At 48.7% G+C, this 24,574-nt stretch overlaps 1 protein-coding gene across 6 annotated transcripts in view, besides 4 other annotated features; it reads left to right on the forward strand.

Annotated features, from left to right (window-relative positions):
* The window catches only part of ZBTB16 (zinc finger and BTB domain containing 16), a 197,060-nt gene that overhangs the window by 98,061 nt on the left and 74,425 nt on the right, over positions 1-24,574 (forward strand). The gene's annotated exons all lie outside the window — the stretch shown is intronic.
* Positions 1,806-2,307: an enhancer, noted in NCBI's record as "H3K4me1 hESC enhancer chr11:114030299-114030800 (GRCh37/hg19 assembly coordinates)". NCBI's record gives its function as "activates a minimal SCP1, AML or CMV promoter by ChIP-STARR-seq in naive H9 embryonic stem cells {active_cell/tissue: H9 hESC(naive)}" and the evidence as "EXISTENCE:reporter gene assay evidence [ECO:0000049][PMID:30033119]".
* Positions 2,308-2,807: an enhancer, noted in NCBI's record as "H3K4me1 hESC enhancer chr11:114030801-114031300 (GRCh37/hg19 assembly coordinates)". NCBI's record gives its function as "activates a minimal SCP1, AML or CMV promoter by ChIP-STARR-seq in naive H9 embryonic stem cells {active_cell/tissue: H9 hESC(naive)}" and the evidence as "EXISTENCE:reporter gene assay evidence [ECO:0000049][PMID:30033119]".
* Positions 6,460-6,961: an enhancer, noted in NCBI's record as "H3K4me1 hESC enhancer chr11:114034953-114035454 (GRCh37/hg19 assembly coordinates)". NCBI's record gives its function as "activates a minimal SCP1, AML or CMV promoter by ChIP-STARR-seq in primed H9 embryonic stem cells {active_cell/tissue: H9 hESC(primed)}" and the evidence as "EXISTENCE:reporter gene assay evidence [ECO:0000049][PMID:30033119]".
* Positions 6,962-7,461: an enhancer, noted in NCBI's record as "H3K4me1 hESC enhancer chr11:114035455-114035954 (GRCh37/hg19 assembly coordinates)". NCBI's record gives its function as "activates a minimal SCP1, AML or CMV promoter by ChIP-STARR-seq in primed H9 embryonic stem cells {active_cell/tissue: H9 hESC(primed)}" and the evidence as "EXISTENCE:reporter gene assay evidence [ECO:0000049][PMID:30033119]".

The raw sequence follows: 24,574 nt of genomic DNA on the forward strand, positions 1-24,574 counted from the left end.
CCCTCTTCCAGGCGCACGGATTTGTCCACAGCAGGCAGCTGGCAGCTATCTCTCTCAGCGCGTCTACTGTCCCCATGTCTTCGTGCATTCTGTTCTTCCTTCCTGTGGGCCCTCCCCACCCTGCCCCTGGCTCCACTGAATCATCCTCCTCCTGCCCATGTGTCTCACCTCAGCCCAGAGCCCTAACTTCCAGGCATTTCTGCGTCCGGATCTGCTTGACACTCACGTACACTTTTTCTTCTGTTTTAGGGACTTACACCTTGTATCTTCATGCTTCCCTTCAGCTTTGTACGCTACTTAAGGTTCAGAGTGTGGCGGGTTTCATGAACTATCTGCCTACCAGGTTGGCTACCCTTCCCTTGCTTTCTTGGTCTTGATTTTTTCTGCTTTAGCCCACCACTGCCTTACTGCAGAGTGTGGTGCGTCCTGCCCTAGACCCCTGTGTGGTGCTGGGCACTTCTGGGGCAGTGCACTTCTAGCCTGTTGGTAAAGCGTCTTTGCCCTCTCAGCCGCAGTAAGCGTCCTTTCTTATTGCTCTTTCCTTGAGTCCAGTGCTGTAGCCAGACTCATTTTCTTGGTTTGCTTTATGGGCTTGTTGCTTTCTGGGCTCTGTGGCTTTGTTTGCCCCATTCTGTCTACTTGGAATAACCCATCTCCCATCTTCCCAGATCTTCCAAGGTCCCTTCCATGATGCCATCCCCAGCTGTTCCCCACCTCCAGCCAGAAGCAGTCGTGCCTTTTCTGTGCCCATGTTTCTTTATTTGAAGCTATCTTTGGGTGCAGTTTTTCTTCTGTGTTACAGTTATTTATGGACTTATCTCTCTTACTTGGGAGGCGGGGTTACATGGTGGAAGGAATTTGGACACGTACCTACTGCTGATGTGATCTGGGGCAAGAACCATAAGCTCTTACAGCCTCAGTATCCTCATCTGTAAAATGAAAATATTTAACGCTATCTCGGAGAAGCTGTGAGGCTCACCTTGAATACATACCACCATAGCTAACATGTCATGGGGTTAGATCCTGTCCACGTTATGTCCAGCACACTGCCTGGCACATTATTGGTGCCAAGAAGTATTTGTTGAGTGAATGATGCAGCCTGGGATGCCGATGAACAGGGACACTCCTCTCTCCGGACAAGTCCCTCCTGTGGTAGGAACTGTTTATGTCCTAAGGACTCACTGGAGGGGACAGCCAGGAGCCCCTGGCTCGTATTGTATCCCTCTTCCAGGCGGTGTGACCCAGTGTGAGTTAGCCAGTGTCTCTGCTGTGAATCACACATCAGCAGCATTGGTGGGGCTGGTGGAAGCGGCTGCAGAAAAGAAAGGGTTGCTTGCATACTCATGTCAGGTGGGCCCGGTGTCCCCAGTTCAGACAAGAGTGTGACTGTGCAACTGCCCTGCGGAGCTGGCGGTTCCCTGGGGAAGCTGACTTTGGTTCCACCTGAGATGCTGCTTCCAGGTCCCCTGATCTCATATGGCTGCTCCAGAGGCTTTGGGAGTTGGGTCCTCTTTTCCTAGTTTTTCCTTTCCATGCCTGTCTTACTGGGCACTGAAGGCTGATTGTGTCAAATGATTTGTCCCTCTGCTAGTCACTTGCCAATGCCCTTGGAAAGGATGATTTGATGATTAGGCAGGTGCGATGAGTCATAGTAGTGTTTTAATTCACCCTTGCAGATAGCTCACGGCCTATATTCTGATATTTCTATTCTTTTTTTTCTTTCTGTTGTCCGGCATACTCCTCACCTCCGTGCTGAGAGGTCTTGAAAATAAAATAGCACAAAGGGCTTAGTGAGGCTAGACCATTTCCTGAATTGTTTGGCCACTGTTAAACAGGCCCTGGGGGCCTCTGGAGTGACCTGGACTTGTTGGGGAGTTGGGGTCAGAGGGCTGGGCTGGTGGCGCTGGGTCTTCTTACAGATTCCAGTAGTGGTTTACATGTTCTGATGCCTGAAAACAGAACTAGGTGATGTTTTAGAAGAGACATTGAATTAGATGATGTGAGGTTTTCCTGCTGCTCTATTTTGAAGGTTCCATGAAGAAAGCTGACAGTGAGAATGGGTGTGCCAGGTCTGTAGAGTAGACCCATTTTACAGATGACCAAGGGTTCAAGCAGCCCACAGCCTGGAAGAACAGTAGTTGCTCCAGAACCCTGGGCGGGGGAGGCGGGGGGGAGGCGAGCATTTTTTTTCAAAAGGCGCAGGCTGTGGAGAAGTGAGTCCAGGATCTGGGTAGGGGTTGTGGTTGCCCCCCTAAATGTTGCTGCCCTTGCACTGGCACATTCCTGCTGTTTTCTTCTGCTCAGCAGAGCCGAACGGCTCTCACTTCCTGGCTAGCTCTGTGTGCTGCCCCACCCCCTCTTGGCGAGCATTGCCTGTGTTTGTTATTGTAGTCCTGGCTCCAGGCCAGGCCTGGCTGCGAGCCAGACTTGTGGGTACAGTATGTACAGTGAGTGCTGAGCCAAGTTTGTCATCATACACCATTAATTTTTTTTTTCTAATCTGGTTGGGGTGGGGTGAAGGAGGAGGCAAGAAAAGAGTTTCTCCGATGCTTGAGAATAGGCCGCATTGAATTCCGCAGAGATGTCATTTCTGAAAGGCAGACGGAGCTCCGGCTTGTTCTTCCTTCGCAGTTTTTCCTCCTTTCTCTCCCTGTCGTCCTCCTCTCCTCTTCATTTCCCTATCACGCGAAATCAGCCTGCAGGAGATCGACAATGCAGGTCTTATTTTCAGTGACTAGAATACTAAATTTACACTGCTAAATCAGTTTTCATTGTGTTGAAATTGACAATTTGTTTAATTAGAAGTTTGCCCTGTAGGAGGCCCTTCTGAGAGACAGTGCCTTCCCTTTTTCTCTCTCCCTTACTTTCTGTTTTAAGGGTTTTTAAAAGAGCCTAAATGGTAGTAGTGAATTTCAGTTTAATTGAAGTTTTAATTTCAATTCGAATGTGTGAATTAATCAAGTGTTTATGGGCTATACCTGATGATCACAATAAGTTTAAACTAACTATCAATAACCAAACTCATTAACTAATGAGATGATCTGGCCAGGCCCTGCATTCTCAGAGGTGGTTTTGGGGGTCAGAAGGGTTTGCGTGTTGGGGAAAGAGGCTTGGGGTGGGAAGAGAGATGACCTCCAAGGCTTTGCAAAGCTAGCCCTGATGGAGGGTGAAGCTTGGGTGTAGGACTGTGGCCCTTCCCCTTCCTGTGTCCCAGGAAGACTCTGAAACCTCCCTCCTCACCCTCTGCTACCTTACCCCTTTTGGGGATCTGGCATTGAAGCATCTGTTGATCCACTGTCTCTTCGCCACTCCTTGTCGTAACACGAGAAGTGATTCCTAGCTCTGAGGTGTCCATGCAGAGACCACAGACACATGCAGTGACTCAAATTGGTTCTGAGATGGGCCAGTGTAAGGTTTCCCATTAGGTAGATTTCCCACAGCTTGGCTTAACGTCCTGGTGGCTTATAAGTGAGCATGCCTAGAACTGCTTGTCCCTATTTTTGACTCGGCTGCATACGATTAGGGTTTGAGTATTCATGTGGCCTGCTCCTATTCTGGGAGTGTCATTCATTTTTGGAGCCAGAGGATGTTTAATAAGCACGAATTGTGTGTCAGGCTCTGTGCACTTAACAGTGAAGACTGCTACAACATCCCTGCCCTCAAGGAGCTTAAGTCTAGAGTGGGAGATGAGTATGACTATGCAATCATCATACAAGATGGTAATGTGTGCAAAGTGCTAAGAAATCTAGGAGAAATTCAGAGTAGGAGAGTGTTTTGTGCCAGAGGGTAACAGAACAGCATTTTGAAAGGACTCGGTGAGGGGAAGCCGAAGCCACCTATGGAAGTGGGTGGTGTAACCTGCGAGTGTAGGCTGGGCCTGCAGGGAGAGAGCAGAGTGCAGGGTTTAGAAGAGATGGACGAGATACATCTGTGGAAGGAATAGCAAAATGATCTGCATTCTCCCTGAAGCACTGGAGAGCCACTGAAGGACTGAGTAAGAGGGTGACATATTTTTGTGTCTGGAATAGAAGGGACTGTTGGGCTTTTTTTTATGTAGACTAGGCTAGAATATAAGGTGAATAAAGCCTGTTGGAGAACTTGAAGACTGGCCGTCTGTGTTGGGGTGTGGCTGGAGTGTTGAGAGGCCTGTGCCTTCTGTGCTGGTTAGGGCCCTGTGGCCCCATTCTGCCAGGTGGGAGGCCCCATCCTTCCACTCCTCTCTTGCCCTTGTCAGGCACTGTAGGCCCTGGCTGTTGAGAAGCATCCCTGAGATGAGGCTCTTCCCCAGAGTTAGAGCCATGGGGAAAGAATGAAGGCTTTCGTTGATAGATTTTCTGATTTCAGCAGCAGCATGGAGTGGCTGGGGCTTATCACCTGGGACCTGGGTCATCCTCCTGGCAGGGAAAAGGGCTGGAGGAGTCCTTCAGATTGGATCTCTTAGGCTTTCCTCTGTCGCGGTTGGACGGAAGAAGAAAAGCATTACAAGATGGCAAAGATCTGTGGCTTGTCCTTGTTCTGTTTTATTTATTTATTCTTTTTTGGAGCACTGAGCTGTGGGTTTCAGTTTCTTCTCCTCAAAGACAGAGAAGATGGGGGAAGAGAGGTAGCTGGAAAATTCCCTGTGACTGGGAGGAGACAGTGCGAGGTGGTCCCCACGCTGATGATGGGAGAGGTGCCTTTGAGTCCAAAGATGGCTTCCCCTCATCTTGTCTCTCCTCCCATTCACCTCTCTCCTCCCAGATTAGGTATCTGCTCAGAGCAAGAGACTTGGGGCTGCCCAGGCTTGTGAGAGCCCATGGCCAATCCATGCACCCTCTGCCCACTCTCCAGTCAATACCAGCTATCCCTTCTGGTTAGCTTCCTACCATCAGGGCAAACCCGGGAGATGACCAGGAAGAAACTTCGTTCATGTTCCTTGACTCCCTCCACATTCCTTATGTGGGGGCGCCTTTGGTTTTTGGGTCAAGGAAGTGGAGAAGATCAGATGGGGGTGGCTCAGAGGCCAGGCTGCCCTCCCTTCGGTCCGCATGGGTGATGCGGATGCAGAGAGTGGAAAGGGTGAAGGGAGCCACTTTCCCCCAGCTCGCTCTTGAACACACTTCTCTTTCTCTCTCTCTCCCTACTCTGAATTTGGCTTGCTTCCCGAACTTTTTCCCAGAGTGGTGTCGTCACTGGCCTGCCGGCAGGTCTGGATGTTCTGCCAGCATTCCAGAGAGTTTATGATCGCTTGCAGATGCGCCTCCAAGAACACACTGTACCCAAAGCAGAAATTAATGCAGGCTTGACTACCGTCCAAGCCCGTACACGGGAGAGAGGAAAAGGAAAACAAAAACTGTTTAATGCTGTTTATAAATTATACACTGGCTGATGAAAAATACATTTCTTTCCTCTCCCCTTTTACTCTCCCCCCAACCCGTCCTCAGTCCCCCCCCAACCCCACCCCCACCCCTTCTCGCTTTCTGCCTCAAGAGCCTAAACTGAGACCAGAAGAATATGGTTTTGCTTTTTAGCTCCTGTTTTGGCTGGGATCCGAAACCCTGCTGCTGATTCACAGCCAGAGTATTTTTCCCCTTTACCTGATGAAATATACTGATTTTCCAGCCCAGATGGGGTGTTTTTGGTTTTGTTGTGTGGGTTGTTTTTGTTTTTTTTGGTTTTTGTTTTTTGGCCAGGGATTTTGTTTACAGCAAGTATCAGGTTCCATGATGGTGCTGGGTGCGATGCTGGCCCCAGGGCAGATAAATCCCCCACGTAACTGCCACCTTAGTGCTGCGGTTTTGCGTGCCTGGGTCCCCCGGTCCTAGTCAGGCCAGCTGAACCGAGAAAGTTGGGAAAGTTCATTGCAGGTCATGGTTTTAAACAGTGTTTTCACCAGTTCTCTCCCACCCCTTCACCTACAGCCCCTGTGTGAAGAGGGGGTTCACATGTCCCTGCCCCCAAATACACATGTCTCTGTCTCCATATGGTGCCTTAGCAGGGGTTGGGGAAGCTCGTTCCATCTACCCCTCTGGATCCCAGCATCTCCTCCCACCCCGCAAATCCCCCATCCCAATTTATTCTATAAATTTGTTTCCACATTATGTCTATCCATTTACATGGCTTTTGTGTTTTTTAATACTGCTAATGTTTATCGTTTGCCCAACAGGCTCGACAGATTTTGCTTCCTGTAGAGCATCGAGGCTTTAGAGCCCCCTCGTTGCTAAGTAGCAGTCTCCCTGTACTGTAATGGGCTGATTTTGTATTCTGTTCAGCGCTGTATCTTATTTTTGTATGCAAGACAAAGTGTTTTGATGGAGGACGATTGCGGCAGTGTCTGGAGGCTGTTTGGAGTTTTATGGGCTGTACAGTACACTGTGTGCTCTCTGAACAGAACACAGGCTGTTGAATTTTGGATTGGATTTGTCATTTTTCCCCCCTCAGAGAGGAGCCTGTCAGATAGAACATTACTTTGAGGGTGGAGGGAAGAAAGTGGAAATTATGTAATAACCTTCTTCCTTCTCCCTCTCTCGATGATTTTTCTATCTCAGCATAGGGTGGTTTCTTCCACACAAACCCTGTCTCATGCCACCACATGATTTTGCACAGCTAGAGGATGACGGTCTTATTAGGAAATGAATGGTGCCCTAGAGGGATGGATGCTGGGACATCTGTCTGTCTGCCATTTATTCTCCTAGTCTCCCTTTCCTCTCCTTTGCTCCTGCCATCCTTCCTACGTTCTGGGTTGCCTTGCTGGTCCTTGTTATTGTCTGAGGATGAATAGATATGGGGTTATTGGGGAGGGATATTTACGTGGGATCAACCTGATAATGGCAATGCCATTTCTGATTTCCAGGGCCTTTTCGTCTTCCCTTGGCTTCGCAGACACACACCCTGCCGGAAGCGTTCTTAGGAGGCCTGGCCGTGCTTTCTCTTGCCCTCAGCCCCATTCCCTAGCCCTCTAACCAGGCTGGGCCTGGGTATCTGTATCCAGGGCTGTGCCTGAGGGGCCCCACCCTGCTTTGGGCATCCATCACGCTACTGCGGCCCTTACTTTCAGTGCTCTTGTCCAGGTCTCTGTGGTGGCAGGTATTTATTTTTCAGCTCTTCTCTTCTCCTTCTATTTCTCCCCAATCTGCTTTCATCTCACTTCATCTCTTTGTCCCTGTCCTTTGTGTCTGTGTCAGCCTCGGCCTTTTCTTGACACTCCTGTGTATTTTCTGTCTTCCTTCTTATGTCTTCATCTGTCTTTGTCTCCATCTGTCTTCGTTGGTCTTTTCTCTGTCTCTCTCTTTCTCTGTCTTTGTCTCTGTCTCTGTCTCTCCCTGCCTCCCTGCCTCCCTGTCCTAACCCACCACCTCAAAGTTTTTTTTAGCTTGGAAGCTGGGCAGTGGTTGGAATGGAAAACAAAATGTCACTCTGGCCCAGAGGTCTCCCCAGAGGGGAGGACTCTTGAGCCAGTGTCCCTAGAATGCTCCCAGCACCTAGAATCTCATGTGCTCTTGTCCCTTGCCTCTCAGGGGCCAGAGTGGGGCTTCTCTGGCTTGGCCCCTGCTTTTCCCAGGTCCCTGGATGTTCCCCCCAAATCCCAGTTGTGTTGAGAATGGGCAAGTAGTTTAGCAGGGTTAGGCTTTACAAGGCCCTTATTGGACTTTGCTGGTACTGTGCTCTCCTGGGCCAGTACTGTGCACCTGAGTGCAGGACTCAGCAGCTGCCCTCACATACTCATGCCCTAGCAAAGTGCCTGGTACATAGGAGTGTTGTGCACTGATAGTATCTGTCAAATAAATGAATATCCTGTTATAAAAGTGTTTGTACTACTAGGGCAGATCTGGGTTTGGTGGGGCCTGAAGCGTACTCAGTTTTGGGTGCTGTCTCTCAGAAAAGGATTATAAATACCAGGTGTTAGAGCCTCTCCCAGGAAAGGGGTCAGTGCCAGGGAGAGGCCTGAAGCTTCAGCTTTACTGGCTTCCGGGAGAACAGGCCTGGGTGAACCACTTGAGAGGTTGCTGTTGAGGGGTCTCACTTGGAACTACTTAGTGGGGTGGCTCAGGGCTGAGGATAGGAGGGTGTCATCTGCCCAGCTCTGGGGACCTTCAGAACCTGGGACATCTGTGCTCACAGGCCTCAGGTTTATGTTCCATAGAGGTCAAGCCTTTGGCAAATGGCTGCAGGTCGCAATGGGCCTGGAAACATCATGGTATTTCACATGCTCTTCTCAGTGAGGTTGCTTGGTAGGGATGGACCCTGAGTTCCAGCTCACCCAGAGCAACCAGGTAGGCAGCCACTCTTGGTAGCATCCTGGCCTCCACACTAACCCTCGGTGACTGTCAGTGAAATGGCATGGCATTCACTCCTCTCCCAGGTGTTCAACTGCCTAGGTCTGTGGCTGTGGCTCTCCTGCGTTCTTGGGGCATAGAACTGCAAGTATCGTGGGGCAGAGGACTGGTCTACGTGTGTGTGTGTGTGTGTGTGTGTGTGTGTGTGTGTGTGTGTGTGTAACCATGAGGGAGAGGGGGCCTGGAGGTGATGGAAGGTGTTTGCAGACATCTGGGCATCTGTTCTGTGGAGCTTGCAGACTCATCCATTAAATGAGGTTGGTGAAGATTGCAGGATTGGACAGTCCTTTGGGTAGAGGGACTCACTTGTTGGAGGGTATGGAAAAGCTGCAGTGTCTCCTAGAAATCGGGGACACAGTCCTAATCAGAACACCATGTGTGCATGTGTGTGTTTGTGTGTCCAAGCATGGGAACAAAAAGAGATTGAGAAGAAGCATTTACATGAAATACTCAAATTTGTTCCTTTGCTGTAATGGGCCCGCACAGACCATTACCTTGAAGATTTAAAAACTAAATGAGCTCATCATATCGAGTGACTTCTACCGACATTCATGCTTGATTGCAAAGCCTGCTTTACCTTTGAATTTCAACTTCATTGTTTGTTATTAATTCTCAGATGGTGGTGGTGTGTTTCTACCTTTTGGATTCAGCCATGAAAATGTTGATTTTGTGTGATGGATGTGAACATTTCTCAACAAGACCCCACTGAAGAACCTTTTCATTTTAAAAATAGCCCCATGACCTTTGGGGCTCAGACTGGAGTTTCCGAGGAATCCAGTGGGCTGAGGCAAGGCTTGGGTTGACTTTGGAGGGGGCAGAAGTTTGCATTTTTTTGTCTAATAATTTGAGTTTCATATGAATGATTCTGTGCTCCGTGCAATACTATGCATTTTCATAACTGTCTCTTTCACTTTGGGTAAAGGAAGGGAGGGAAAAAATAACAGCAGCAGCATTCTGTGGGCAAAGGAAGAAAACAAGAGAATGGGGCAGAGAACAGGCTAAATTTAAAATTGTAATTGGCTGACTTCCACTGGCTTGCGGGTGTTTTAATGACTCATAATAACTTCATTTAAAACCAGCTGAGCAGAAAATAGATTGGAGAGGAGCCTCGGGCCATTATGGATTTGTGGTTTTTTTTTTTTTTGGTTTTTTTTTTTTTTTTTTTTTGACAAGCTTGGTTTTCAGCAGCCAGGAAGGCTCTCAGAGAGGGCTTGGCTGTGTTTTCTCTCTCTCTCTCTCTCTCTGAGGGTTGGTGGTCTGCCCAGGAGAGATTGTATAGAAACCAGGGCGAGTTTTTTTGTTTTTTTTTTTTTTTAAATTCTCCCTCTACCCCTTGCTTTTTTTTTTTTTAACTGATTAAAAATAGATGCCTTGAGGTATTATTTTAGCATCAGTAGGATTTTTTTCACCTTTGATGTGGTAAATGGAACATAAATAAAATTGTTTTTGAAATTACTGAATTAATTAGGTAGTAAAGCAACCACAATGCATAAATGTCCTTGGCCGTCTGGTTTTTCTCCCTAACCCTGATCTATATTTGTAGGGCGTTCCCTTTTCTCCCCAGCCCCCTCCTGCTCTCCCAGCGACCCCTCCTTCCTCTGAGCCTGCACCTTCCCTTTGAATGGCAAGATTCTTTTATCATCCCGGCAACAGCTAAATGATTTTTTAAAATCCATAGGATTTTGACAGTATTGGTTCTATCTGGTTATCTGATCAGCTCCAGGAGTTTTGGGACTTGCCAGAAAAGGCTCTAACCTGGCTCTAGTTGTTTTAAATAGGTCCTGCCTGTTTCCCATGCTAGGCCTGGTGCCCGACCGGCGAGCGTTCCTTTTTCTCTTCTCTTTTGAAAAGTCAGCCGACTCAGCCCTAGGATGTGTCTGTCTGGGCAGGACAAGAGGCCGCCCTCCATCTGATCGCTCTTAGCCATTTATCTATCCCCTCTTATGGCACCTGTCACCTTCTTTGTTACATAGCTATTTATTTGCTTGGCCTTTTTTGCCTACTAGACTGTAAGCTTCTTGAGAACATGTGATTTATTTGTGTCCCCTATACTACCTCGCTTAGTAACCTGAATGGTGGTTATAACTCAGTCATTTGAAAAATAACCTAATGGGTGAGTGAGCAGGCATGCGGATGGGCACATGGTAAGGAACAGACCTGAGGTGCTGCCTGCTTCCCTCCAGCCCCAGGAGTCAGCAATCTGGATGAGAAGACAAGGATGGAAGGCGGGGACCTTGTCAGTAGTGTGCTCTGTTGCATCCTCACAGCGGGACACATAGCAGGCTCTCAGGAAATATCTGTTGAAGAAGTGAAGGGCTCAGGATGCATGGTTTGGCTGCAGGAAGGAGAGAAAGACATTTATTGAAACTTGCTGTGTTCCAGGCACAGTGCTATGTGTTCTGCATATCTGAACTCAGTCTTTCTTCAACTTTGGAAGACAGATATGCTGATTCCGTTTTGCAGATGAGGACAGTAAAGAGTTAACTTGCCTAAGATCATAAAGCTAGAAAGTAGCAGAGCTGGACTTCAATCTCCCTCTCTTTCTCTCTCCTTCCACCCTGTGTCTTGCTTTTCTATTATAGTATAGCATGCTGCTATACCTAGCCCTGGCCTCGTGCTGTTTGAGTGCCTAAATGCCTGCTTCTCTGTTTGTAGAGCTAACCAATCTCAAACTGGGGAGCTGAGACCAGGAAGGCCCTGTGCCCAAGGGTCCTGGGGGTGGGGAGGGTGGCATAGTAATTGGCTGCTGCCTGTGTGCCTTGCACCTGTGCCACCAGGAGCAGGTGTGGCTTATTAGCCTCTTCCTGCTCTGCCAGAGGAGCATGTGTTCAGTGGTTGTGAGTTGTGGCTATGACTTCTGCTCAGTGCCTTGTAGGGTTGGGGATAGGAGGGTTCTGGGAGCCTTGCAGGAGGGTCTGTGGGTTAGTGTGTGGCCCTCCCACCCAGGGAGAGCTTGACTGTGTCATGCCCCCCACTCCTCCTTTGCACTATCCTGCCAAGTAGGAGGGGTAGGAGGAGAGAGCTGCCTGTGGTCCCTCCTGCATGGCGACGCAACTGGGTGCTCTGCTTCTGGTAGATGCACCCTGTGATGCTGGGGTGGGGTGAAAGGGGCAGCCGACCTGTGCTGCAGCCCAGAAATGTGAGAGCTGTGACCACTTGGGCTATTACTAGCGCCTTAGACTTCAAGCGTCTTGGAGTATGATGCATCAGGAAGGTTGGGCCTCCCTGACCTTTCAGATTATGTCCAGTGAAGCTGGACCACTTGACATGAGGCTGGTTGTGTCCATTCTCTGACAGCCTCATCTTCCCCAGGCACGCGCTGGGGATGCTGGAGCTTTCTCTGGGGAGCGAAACATCAGCCAAATGGGAACCAGATGGTGAAGGTTGAGCAGCAGAGAAACCTCGATGACTACTCTGGGTCACACGTGTGGCCCTCTTTTGCAGGAAATCGTTTGTGAAGTCATTCATCAGTTAGCAACTGAACCTAGGGCCAGTGGTGTGCAAAGCTTGGCAGGGTGGACAGAGGGGTTGAAGCCAGTGTCCTTGTCTGCAAGAAGCTGGTGGTCTGGCTGAGAGGGTGACACGAGCCCCCTGGCAAGAGAAGGCGTTGAGCAAGGCTGGGTGTGCTCATTGTGACCGCAAGAGGAAAGACTGAGTGCTGCAGGCATTTAGAGTGGGGAGAAGCTCCTAAGAACCAGGGGAATGAGGAGAGCTTCGGGAAGGAGGTTCATGGGATTTTGATGAGGTCTTTGCTGCTGGAGTATCCAGAAGGAGTGCTGTGGTGGGAGTGGCCTACCTTTCTGGACAAGAGGAAGCAAGAACTTCTGTGAGCTAGAACCATCCAGGCAGGCATCTCTTTCCTCCTCATCCTCCTCCGCCCATAGCCACCTGGCAGAGACTTAGAGCCCAGTTTCTTGCACTTGGGAGTCCTCCAATCCCTGTGATGGCTGTGGGCCTCCTTGGCCTGGAGGTTGAGAAACACTGCATTAAAGATGAAAAGCTGCCACTTCAGGGGGCCCCTCCAAGTTGAGGCATCCATAAAACAAACACATGTGAAAGCAAGGCTTAAAATTGGATGCGGACCCAGAAGATTGTAAATTTCTCATATAGGATTTGATGGACTAAAAAATATGTTACGAGTACCTAGAACCCCACAAAGCCTAGGTTGAGAAGACAGGTCAGAGGGCTGCCTCTGGGTGAGGCTGAGGACAGAGTTGGCCACCCTGGAGGGCCAATGGAGGAAGCATCCGAGGACGGTCTCAGGACGTGCCCCAGCCCACCTCCTCGGACCACGTGGGTGAAGCCCCTGTGTATGCCTTTAGTGAAGACTGAGCTTGTTCACCGCGTAGATGGAAGCCAGTGGGAGAGAGGGGCGGATACCTCTGTAGTCAGGGGCTCCTTTTGTTGGCTCTCTCCAGGATTCAACCTGACAAAGACATGTCTTCCAGACTTTTCCCCAGTAGTTAACGCACTCCCTCCTCCTTCCCCCAAACCAGTCCCGTTTTGATTGGAATTCTTTCACTTGCCTGGGACAAGGGGAAAAAAAAAAAAGCAAATTCTAAAGTTTTCATTAGGTAGTTGGGATAAAAAGTCTTCTGGGGTAGTTGGATTAAACTTCAGCAGCTCTCTTACTGACTATTATAAGCTAATTGAGCACAGGGAGCTCATTGGCGGCTGCATTTTTGTTGGAGTAATTATGAAAGACCACAGTCATTTTCAGTAACAAGGTAACTCCGGGTAAAGACAGAACTCTCTGAAACTTTGGATTTGCTGGAGTCTTCCTTCCTCAGTTGCCTTTGCTAATATGAGCCCGGGATAAAGGCCCAGAGACCAGATATTTTGGGAGGCTACTATCTTGCCTGAATATCCCGGATCTCCCAGTGCCTTCATTGGGGCCTAATGGACATAATCCAGCACATCTGAGAGAGCACTGCTGGGGGGCCAGTTTTGCATTAATTGAGATTTGGGGTCTGGAGTCAGAAGCTCTGGAGTATAGGCTCGAGAGGGACAGGTGCAGCCTTTGAAGCTGACCCGGGAGCAAAGAGAATCACAGTGCACTGTCTTCATTACTTATTTATGCACCAAGAGCAGGGTCTGATTATAGATAATGAGGCCGAATGATACTCTCTGTCTCTAATGAGGTCCTGTCTGTCCTGTCCGAGCAAAGCGTGGACCAGCGTATGTAGGACTGTGATGACAACCCTGGGGATCTTTTCTAGCCCATAGGATTCTTGATGGGGAAACATTCCTAGACATACAGTCCTCCCACTGAACTCCACCCCCATCCAGAATCTCTATCAGGAGCTAGGAGCCGGCTCAGTGGGCTGGGAAGGGCCTTTCAGTGCCCTTTGGACGGGGCCCTGGGGCCTTGCCAAGCTGAACGTGTCCTCTGGGTGGCCTGCCTCACCTCTGGCCTGCTGCCCATCAGCATTGAATCATGCCCCTCAGAGGACAGCATGTAACTGTGCTTCCCGATATAGCCCCCGGCCCCCCAAGGTGACAGGAAGAGTCATTGTCACGGGAGTACTCCATCTTTCTGACACCACAAGGCCGGCGTGGCTTTCTTCCCTACTGCTCAGCCCTGCACAGCCTAGAATTCTGCTTTGGGAGCATACATAGAGTTCACAGAGCTATTTTTTTTTCCTACTCTCCGTCTCCCACTTTAGTTTTCAGAACTTTATCTCAGTCTCTGGCACGGACTATCTGCTTCCTTCCTCCATCTCAACATTATAAAAGTTTGTCACAGTCAGAGGCTGGCTGAATCGAAGCAGAAATGTGGTGTTTGGTTAAATTGTAAAATTAGCTAGGAAAGTTAATGAGGCGTTCCGCCTCTGCCTGCTGAAGAGCAGGACGTTTATGAAGGTGCTTCAAAGCACCCTGCCTGAGAAGGAAGGAAAGGGAGACAGGAGCAGCAGGGGAAGCTGCCCAGGAGTGTAGAAGAGCCTGGTCCAGGTGAGTTTCCAGGCCTTGGACGTGCCTTTCACTCGCTTAGCTGAATGGAACCTGAGAAATCATCCCCTCAATCCTCCTGCTGTGGGTCCAGCTCCATCTACCCACTCCGAGTCCATAGGAGTTCCCTACTACATGTCCAAGAATGTCCTGCGACCGCACACAGCTGGCCATGGTTAGCCATTCTAGTGCCCAGATTTCCTTTTTGTCCTGGGCAAGGCAGAAGAGACAAAAACTGAACACTTTGCCTTAGAAGGAGCCCATGGTAGAAAGGAGGAAACCAGAGATAATGACAGTGGCAGCTGACATTTCCTGGAGGCCTACAGGTGCCAGGTACTGTGCCAGATTGCTTTACTTCGTCATCTCATTTGAGCCTCACAAGACCCATTTCAAGTTGGTACTGTTAGGACATCCATTTTACAGATGAGGAGACTGAGTTTACTTGCCCAAGATCACCTAGCAAGTAAGAGACAGAGCTGCGCTGTGACCCCAGGGCTGCCTGACCCTGAAGCCCCTGGTCTTAACCTCTGCGGCAAAGTTGTTTCCATCCCCTTTCCAGGCTGCCCATTTCTCCCAGCCCACAGCTCACGTGGTACAGATTGCACGTTTGCAGATGCTCACCCTGAAGCTTTGGAAGTCACGGTCTCAAAGGTGCACGTGGAAGAGCTGCCAACAGTCTATTTCCTGCACACACCAAACTCGCAGGTCTTCTAATTACACCAAACAAACCTTTCTGTTTTCAAGCAGCTATGGGCTTAATATGGCAAATAGTTTCCCACCTGGACCTCTGGCATGGGAGGAGCCAGAAAAGACGAGTTTTGTTTTGTTTTGGTTTGTTTTTTTCCGGCAGGGAGGTGGTTCGTACTTAGAATAGGCATTAAGTGTGGCAGGCAATATTTCTGTTTTGAAAAGTGTGGCATCTTAAGGCTGCTGAATTTTGAGCCTGCAAATGTCAGTGCCGTAGTTGTAATGTAACACCTCAATTATGGTGCAGGGGGTAAGGAAGCCAGACTCTGAAACCTGCAAGGCTCTTTAGATCCACAGCCTGAGCCACAATTAAGGTTTCAGAAACACCAAAGGCAAGCCAATGAGTGTCATTTTTAACCAGTTTGAACATTTTACTACTTCCTAACATCAGAAGCACCCGGGCTAGAGAGCCCGCTTCTTGTCCTCAATAAAGTGATTAAGCTGAATGGGTGTTGGGGAGTATTATTAGGCTGAGAAGGGCTAAAAATAGACATGCTCTGTTTTCTAAAAGCCACAGCAGGCCTGGAGAGACTGGCAGCATCGAGGTGCCACTGAGGGGCCCAGGGGAGGGGAAGGGAGGGTGGCAGTCTCTGGAGCTCCGTGTCTGAGATGGGGATGGTGGGTGTTGTGACGGGTGGGTCAGGTGGTGGGGCCTCTTTCCCAGCTGTCACCAAGAGTGGAATCACAGTGGAAGCACATCCGTACCCGTATATGTGTATTAATGACTTTAAAGGAACTGACAACTCTGGAGTCTCTAGGAGGGATGCCTAGGCCTAAAATTTACGTACTCAGCCCCAAGATAATTGAATTTACCTGCTGTTCTGGGAGAAGGAGTCCAATCTGGGCAGTGAGTAAAGGGCAGACTATAAGGGGCACAAGAAGAGGGACATGGGGAAGAGCAGAGGCCTTTACAGCCGAGAGTGAGGATCTGCTCGACAAGCCTTGATTAACTAGGATGCTCAGAGAAGATGTAATCAAAGGACTTTTTGGTGAACTGAAGGTTAACCAGGAAACCTTGTCTATATCGGCCTTTGTCGTTTGCTATCATTCATCAATGTGAGAGTCCATTTTTCTACTTTCAGTGAATGCAACTGATTGTCTTTTTATGATAGAACATCTTGCTTGCTTAGAAGTCAAAAGGAGAATGCCTAAGAAGGGAGTTAAGCATGGAGGTATATGCCTAGAGTTTTATTATAAGTCACTCTAGAAGATCGTTTGTACGTTTTCCTTCCTACATGTTTTCATACCTTTGAACTCATTCCTCTCTATAATAGCTTTAAGTGCTGGGAGGGGCAAGGAACATGACTTCCACTTTGTAGATGGAGAAACAGGCCAAGAAAAGTAGGATCTTAGAATACACTGAGGTCTACGCAGAGGCAAGTCTAGACCCTGTGCTGCTCCCAGCCCAGGCTCTGTCGGATAGACAGTGTTGTTTCGTGCCTGGACCAGGAGGTGAGAGTTTTTCTTAATAGGCAAAGGACTCAGAGAAGAGAGTTAGGTGGGCTTCCCATGCTGCCATTCTGACTGAGGTTTTTTTTTTTTTTCTTTTATGTTTACTAGCTATGAGACCTTGGGCAAGAGAACTAAGCTTTTTAAACTTCAGTTTGCATATCTAAGGCCAGGCATGGTGTCTCCTGCCTGTAATCCCAGTACTCTGGGAAGCCAAGGTGGGCGGATCACCTGAGATCAGAAGTTCGAGACCAGCCTGCCTAACATGGTGAAACTCCATCTCTGCTAAAAATACAACAATTAGCCGGGCGTGGTGGCATGAGCCTCCTAGCATCTCTCTCCAATGCCACTTGCAACTGTCTTTGTAGTGTGTATGTGTGTATTTTGTTTCTAAGATAAAACATCTCTAGGTAATATTTCAACAAATGAAAGAAATAAAGCCTTTTAGAAGGCTCCTGATGCTGTCACAAATGTGATAATCATTGCACTCTTCAAGAAACCAATTGGCAGAGCTCTGTATGCAAGTTATCTGCTGACAATTGGCTGTAAGCTGTACAAGCCCTGTAGATGAGAGCTTCTCTTTTCCTGGAAACTCCACCAGGAAGCCGTGCCATAGACCCCAAAGACATCCAGGTCAAGCTGCAGGGAAGAGGCAGGGTTCAGTAGGCATAGAAGGCTGTCTAAGCTGGGCCCGTGCTCCCATCACAGGCAGTTTAGTGGAGAACCTGGGCTGGATGTTGACAGAACTGAGATGTTAGCTCAGCTACCCACTAGCTAAATCAGGAGCGTTAGCAGCTTAACTCTCTGAGCCTTGGTTTCTTCACCTGTTAAAGAGATGATGATACATCCTTCCTATCCTAAAAGCAGGACTTCAAAGTTGCACAACAGCAGTGACACCACTCACTCAGAAATGGGACTGTAAGGTTGTTGAAGGTTTAAACAAGATGATGCACATGAAGGTGCCCAGCACAGAAAGTGGAGCTCAACAGGCACACAACACCAATACTTTCACTCCTTCCCTTCCAAGGAACCTACAAAGGCTGCCCTGCAATAAGGAGTCACAATGCTGCTGCTGCCATAGTGTTGACAGTCATCACAATAAAAATACTAATAACATGTGTTGCCCATTCATTATGATGCAAGCATTGTGCTAACTACTTTACATGCAATATACCAGTTAATTCTCCCAACAACTCTAAGATTACCCCCCATTTTATACATGTGCAAACTTTTTTTTTTTTTGGAGACAGAGTCTCTTTCTGTTGCCCAGGCTGGAGTGCAGTGGCGTGATTTCAGCTCAACGCAACCTCCTCTCCCGGGTTCAAATGATTCTCCTGCCTCAGCCTCCCGAGTAGCTGGGAGAGGACAGGGGATTCTGAGACCCAAGCAATGAAGGAATTATCAATATTGAGATGCCAAAGAGATCTCAGCATTGTGAGAGGACTCGGCATTCTCTTCAGTCAGTGGGAAATGAGAGAGGCAGGGACCAGCCTGGAGAAAGTGAGGGAAGCCAAGAATGCCATCGAGACTGAGGAATGCTGCCTCCTATTCCCTTTAAAATACCTCCAATGAGGTATGTCATTTGGCAGGAGTGTCAGGAGATGCTGGGGGACCGGGGCAGGGCCAGGTTATCAGCTTGAAATGGGTGGAGTAGGCACTTGGATCCCGGCCACCACCCTTGGAGGGGTCTTAGTCTTCTTTTTTCCATTGCCCAGCCAGTATTGTGAATCCTACTCAGGGGAGAGGGGTGTGTGTGTGTGTGTGTGTGTGCGTGCGTGTGTGTGTGTGTGTGTATGTGTGAAATCCTCCATGCCATATTTAGGGTGGGGGCCTGTGACGGAGCATTCTGAAGTTGCTTCAGAAGAAAGGAGCAGAATAGATGAGGATGAGAGGAGACCGAAGGCTCAGATCACAGGCTGAGCTTTGGGACTGCTGGGGGCCAACAGAAACTTCTCTTTTCATTCTGAACTTCTCTCCTGAGAATCCCCAAGGGGAGACCTGGGAGGAGGGTGATTGTTGGTGTTTAGGAGTTGCGGAGATGTCCCATAAAATCATGGCAGAAACCCTTACTCTTATATCCCTGGCTTTATTATCCAGCCTCTCACAAATGCCAAGGTTGCAAAGCTATCTATCTCTCTTAAACAAAACAAAGTTATGAACACTTGAAAGCCCAGGTATTCCCTGGAACTCGGGTCAGTCTTTGGCACAGCCGCACTGACCCAGCCTGACTCTGGCTAATGATTCTCCCAATGTCTGGACTCTCTGTTCCATTCTACCTGCCTGATAGAGCAGAATATTCACCTTGAGAAGGATTCTGCTGGCTGAACCGGGGAACCCAGCCCTCGCTTGGTCTCAACAGCACCTTCCAAACACCAAGGGTTGTATGCATTTGAGCTCTCGTGTACGGCCACGTTTAACTTTCTTTGCCATGAGCGCCCAGCTTCTCATGAACACCTGTTCATCCTTTCTCCCTTAGAGATGTCCCAGTTTAAAACTTGTCATTTCAAGATGGAGAGATAAAGGGATTCACCAAGGGTTACACAGCTCAGGCAGTGACAGTCAGGACCGCAAGTCAGTTTCTTTTGGTACTTTGGAAAATCTTGGGTGCGCTGGCCAGCAGAACCCTCCTTGAGCCAGTTATCTACCCTGTCTTACCTAAGGGTGGTCCTGTCTCCCATTCCAGATAGCATAATATCATGTATACGAGAGCCTTAGAGAACATAGTGTCTCATTTATGCAGGCCATTTACTTATTGCGATTGGGCTTCTCCCAGAGCTGTGGGACTGGAAATACTATGGGCTGCATACCCTGTAGGCTGTGGCCAGGAGCTGTCCTCCTGGAGCTCATCAGCTTGATGAAGTGAAATTATTCTATAATCATGATAATGACTGTGACTTGAGCACCTGCTATGTGCCAGGTACTTCATATAGTTTCTTGTTTAAGCTATCATATGAGGATGAATAGCTACATTTTCAGGAGGGAAGTGAGGCTGCGAAGTTGATGCTGGTACCGTACCGGTAGAACCTTAAAGCCGTCTCTGGATTTGAGCTGTTGCTGTTGCCAGGCTGGAGTGCAGTGGTGCGATCTCGGCTCACCACAACCTCTGCCTCCGGGGTTCTAGCGATTCTCCTGCCCCAGGCTCCCGAGTAGCTGGGATTACAGGCATGTGCCACCATGCCCGGCTAATTTTGTATTTTTAGTAGAGATGGGGCTTCTTCATGTTGGTCAGGCTGGTCTCCAACTCCAGACCTCAGGTGATCCGCCCGCCTCGGCCTGCCAAAGTGCTGGGTAATTACAGGCATGAGCCACCGCACCCGGCCCGGGACTTCATTTTGAGGGGGCCTGACCGTTAACCTCCGAGAGATCTCTCAGTTGGCAAAGCATGTCTGGAAGGAAGTCTGGTTCATCACAGCAGGGACTGACATTCCTGTAGTAAGAGAGATTTTGTGCCCTTGTGCTGACTACCACAATACCATGATTGCTCAGTCATAGAAGTTGCCAGGAGAAGAAAGAGATTAGAAGCAATGGTAAGGTGAACCCCTGAGTCACTACTCTTAGACTTCAGGAATATTTGTAATTTTTTTTGGAGACAGAGTATCACTCCGTCACCCAGGCTGGGGTTACAGGCACAAGCTATTGCACCTGGCCTGTATTTTTAAAAAATCTGCAACAAATTTACTATCCTACTTGCATTTTATTTAAAATAATTCACTCATGTATTTTTAAAAACATAAATCATCTCAAACTGGTTTGCATTCCCTGGTTCCCTTCTGGGTAGGCAGTAGGAGGGTAATAATACCATTAAACATTGGCCATGAGTGATGATGGGAGCAGACGGTAGGGGTGTCATTTCCTTGATCTCCTCCTGGGGAAGAATGATCTGACCCCATCTTTACTGGTGTGTTTTGGCTGGAGAGGTAAGAATATTTTAAATTGCGTGATATATCTCTTGCATGCATTTGATGTTTGTGTGTGTCTTATACCTTGCTATTATTTTATCTCCTGATGACAATGATGATGTTGGTCTTAATGACAACTAGCATTTATTGGGCTATTATTGTATGCCAGACAGGGTATTAAACACTTTACATATATTATTTAAATTAATCATCCCTCAACCAACCCTGTGGCATAAACACTCTGAGCCCAGTTTTCTAGGTAAGAAACAGGCCCAGAAGAGATAATTCACTTCTTCAGGGTGGTAGCTAGACATGGTAGAACTGGGACTTGAACCAGAGTTTGTTTGATTCCAGAGAGCGTGCTCTTCACTACCTTACTGTGCAGCTTAATATTGAGTGCATGTGTGTGTTCTGGCTGTGGACAGTGTTTCTAAGCCTGTTGGATTACCCGCTGGTGCTAAAAGGGGTAACAAAAGAGCTTTCCAAGCCACTCTGGCTGAGAATTGAGTTGCAGGGATAAGGGACAAGGTAGACCTGTGTGCTCCCTGTGGGACTTGAGAGAGGGACTGCAGGATCCCAGTAAGAGACAAGGGCACCATGCAGCTTCCTAGTAGCATCACATTTATTAGGTAGGATAAGAAATGTTCCCTCAGCCATAGAGATGTCTCAGCATTTCCTCCTGACCCAGTCCAGGGTTTCCTCTTCTGCAGAGTGGATATTTAGCCACACATGAGGTGTCAGTCATTTGCCAGGTCACTGGTGGGACACTGGCTTTTGGAGATCTAAAAACCACCTGTCCTCCATCCCAGGTGACTCCCGTTGTTCTGTTGCTCAGCCCAGGAGAATTCCCTGGTGTCTTTCTCCATCCTATATTTATGTGGGGTCCTGTATCATTAGTTCATTCACCCTCCCATCTTGTAGTGAGTGAGGCCGAACTCTGAGGATCTTTCCCCACAGCCTTGTCAACCACAGCTACCCTTGAACCATATCCTGGACCTATCAATGGGGCTGGTTGTTTTCCTTTCAGCCAGGATTTGCTCACCTGCTTTCCCTTTTCCCTCTTCCCTGAATCTGTGTATCTTCCAGAAACTCTGGTTCTGGATCAGCTTTTTGTTTTGTTGACAAAGGAGAAAGAGCAAGAGAGAGAGCTAGAGAGAGAGAGAGAGAGAGCCTTCAAGCTCCTCTCTGGGAGTACACATCTCCTTGAGGGAAAGAACACACAGTGCCGGCCTTTGGAATTGGCAGCCAGTGTGCTGTTCTCCGTCTGATAAGAGGTACTGTAAATAAAACTGTACACCATGGCCTGTTGTAAAATGCCCTGCGTCTGTACTCATTGTTCTGACAGCTTATGCTTTTTTTGGGTCTGCTGTTTTGGTACACTCTGTACTTCCTTATGTAAGCAGGCGTGCAGATCTCATCAGAACATTCAAGATGTTTATTTTAAAATCTCAAGGAATTTTGAAAAAAAGGACACACCACTCAACATTAGATGCTGGCAAACATTAGGTGTTTTTTCAGTGGTTCTTTTTTTTCTCCCTTCTTATTATTAGCATGGGGGTGGGAGAGGCTTTGGAGAGGGAGGGATTTGAATTTTTTTTTTCTTCCCTCATTGGCTTCTGCCTTATTTCCTTCAGAGAGACACCACCCCATATCTGATTGCATTCAGTGTCTTCTGCTTCCTTCCTGGATGCCGGGACCCCCTCAGCCTCATTTCTGGTTAGGGCAGGTAGGGAGGGAGGTTCTTTGACAAGGGGGAGAGGGCAGCTGCAGGGAGCTTGTCATGGCTTCCACTGGATTTCAGCTTTATTGTCATTGGGATCCTGGGCATTTAGAGAAAGCTTTATGTTTTTGAAAGTGCCCTGCTGGCTGTTCCCTCCTTTGATTCCTGTGAGTTGGGGTGATCCTTGGCACAGAGGGAGAGCTGCTCCCACACACGGAGGCCTCAGTCCCGCCTCTGGCATGTGCGTCCTGTCTTTCCACCGAACTTTAACTGGCTTTGAACCTTCCTCCTTCCTTTATCCCCAACCTTCTGGAGGTGTCGGGAAGTCAGGGAAAAAGGGGAGAAGAGTAGGAGTCTGGAGAACCCAAAATGGTCAGGGAGCTCCCTACAGGGTGGTGCTTAGAACATCCCGAAGCCCTCATCTGCAGGGTACCTGGGAGACTGGTAGGGGCAAGGATGTCCGCCTGTCTCTTTCACAACTGGGTACCTGGAATCTCAGATAAACTCAGTGCCTGGGGTAGGGAGTAGTCACTCGGCAGATCACTGCCTGGGGGGCAGGAGGCTCACTGACTGTAGCGGAGGGAAGGGTTGTTTGTTGGCTGCCACAGTGAGCATTGGACTGGGTTGGGAGCAGACATGCTGATGAGAGGGAGATCTCACACCAGAAGAAGCAGACAGCCCCACTTCCTAACCTTTCCTCCCTTTTCCTCTCAACTACCTGAGACCTAGCCAGAGACCATGTCCTTGAGTTTTAAATAGGGGGTAGTAGAGAACGGAGTGTGCAGAATAAGGACTCTGCCACCCCCTAGGGGACAGACAGCTTGGCAGTGCCCTGAGTGGCCATTGCGCCCTTCCCAGGTGAGTTCTGCACCCAGGAACCTGCCTGGGACTTTCTTTGTTTAACAAGCATTTAGTGGGCACAGACTGTATGCCAGGCATGGCGCAGGGTATCAGGGATATGGTAAAGCCCAAGACAGGTGGGAACCTGCTCTCACAGAGCTTACAGTCCACTGGGAAGATGGAAGAGAGCTCCAAATACAGGACAGTTGAATGGGGCTCCAGGGGCTTGTCCAGAGAAGATTTCAGAGCCAGGTTGGTGAATAGCTGCTGATACTGACATATTGGTTCGATGGCAGATTTTTCTGCTCCCCTCAACAAAACAATCACTCATCTTTAAATTAGAGGAACAAGGTGGGGTGTGCATGTGTGCGTTCATGTATGTGCACGTGTGGTACTGTGTGTCTTTATGAATGTGAGACTCACTTTACACAAGATAAATGGCCCCCAAATAACTGTACATCCAATTCCAGTAAAATCAGTCATACTTTAATTGCATGAAGGGAGCTCTTTCTTTAAAGGAAAAGTGACTGGAGAAGATGGTAGCTGCGACTTACTGGTTCTGTATATCTACCCACCAGCTGTAGGATGGAGCACTTTCCCCACCTTGTCGCAACTCTCCAAGGGACCTCCCCTTACTGCTTCCATTTTACAGCTGAGGCAACAGGCTCCCTGAGACTGGCAGCTTGCTGAGGGTCACAGCTGGCGACTAGCTTGCCTGGGATTTGACCTCTGATCTGTCTGACCCAAATGTTGAGTTCTTAACCACACTGCACTGCCTCCTGAGGTATAAATGGCACCAAGGACCTCTGCTATCCACAGAATGTTTTGTGATTGACAAGGAGTTTTGTATTCACTTATGTCTATTATCCTGTTTGCTCCTCACAGCAGCCTCAGGGAGGCAGACAGATAGGCTTATGCCCATTTTACAGATTGGGAAATCAGTTCATCAAGGTGTGATGACTAGTGTGATGCCCACAGCTGTGAGTGGCCAAGTTAGGCGTGGGATCTCGTGCCTGCACCTCTAGATCCTGCTATTTTTCTCGGTTTGCTTGGATCTGTGATTGCTGTGGTTAGCAAGGGTCTAGCGCACTTTATCTTCTGCTATTCTCCCTCTGCTATTTAATTTCTTTCCCGCAATCTATCCCTTAACTTCCCCCAGCCCCGCATCTCCCACCTCCATGTCACTCCATCCCGTGCAGCTGGCCTCCTTGCTCCTCTTGCCTTGCCTGGCGAGGGTGTTCTCACGTGGTGGCCTTGCTCTATGCAGATGTCAGTGCATCAGCAAGGGCCTCCCTGACTACGCTGTGTAAAAGAACAGCCCCTGGCACTCTCTGTTTATCTTTACTCAATGCTTTGTTGTTGTTATTGTTGTTGTTTTGAGACAGGGTTTCACTCCTGTTTCCCAGGCTGGAGTGCAATGGTGTGATCTCAGCTCACTGCAACCTCTGCCTTCCGGGCTCAAGCTATTCTCCTGCCTCAGCTTCCTGAGTAGCTGGGATTTTAAATCAGCCACCATGCCTGGCCAATTTTTGTATTTTTAGTAGAGATGGGGTTTCACCATGTTGGCCAGCTTAGTCTTGAACTCCTGAGCTCAAGTGATCTACCCATCCCGGCCTCCCAAAGTGCTGGGATTACAGGCGTGAGCCATTGTGTCC

The sequence above is a fragment of the Homo sapiens genome, chromosome 11 (assembly GCF_000001405.40).
Source record: "Homo sapiens chromosome 11, GRCh38.p14 Primary Assembly".
Classification (NCBI taxonomy): Eukaryota; Metazoa; Chordata; class Mammalia; order Primates; family Hominidae; genus Homo; species Homo sapiens.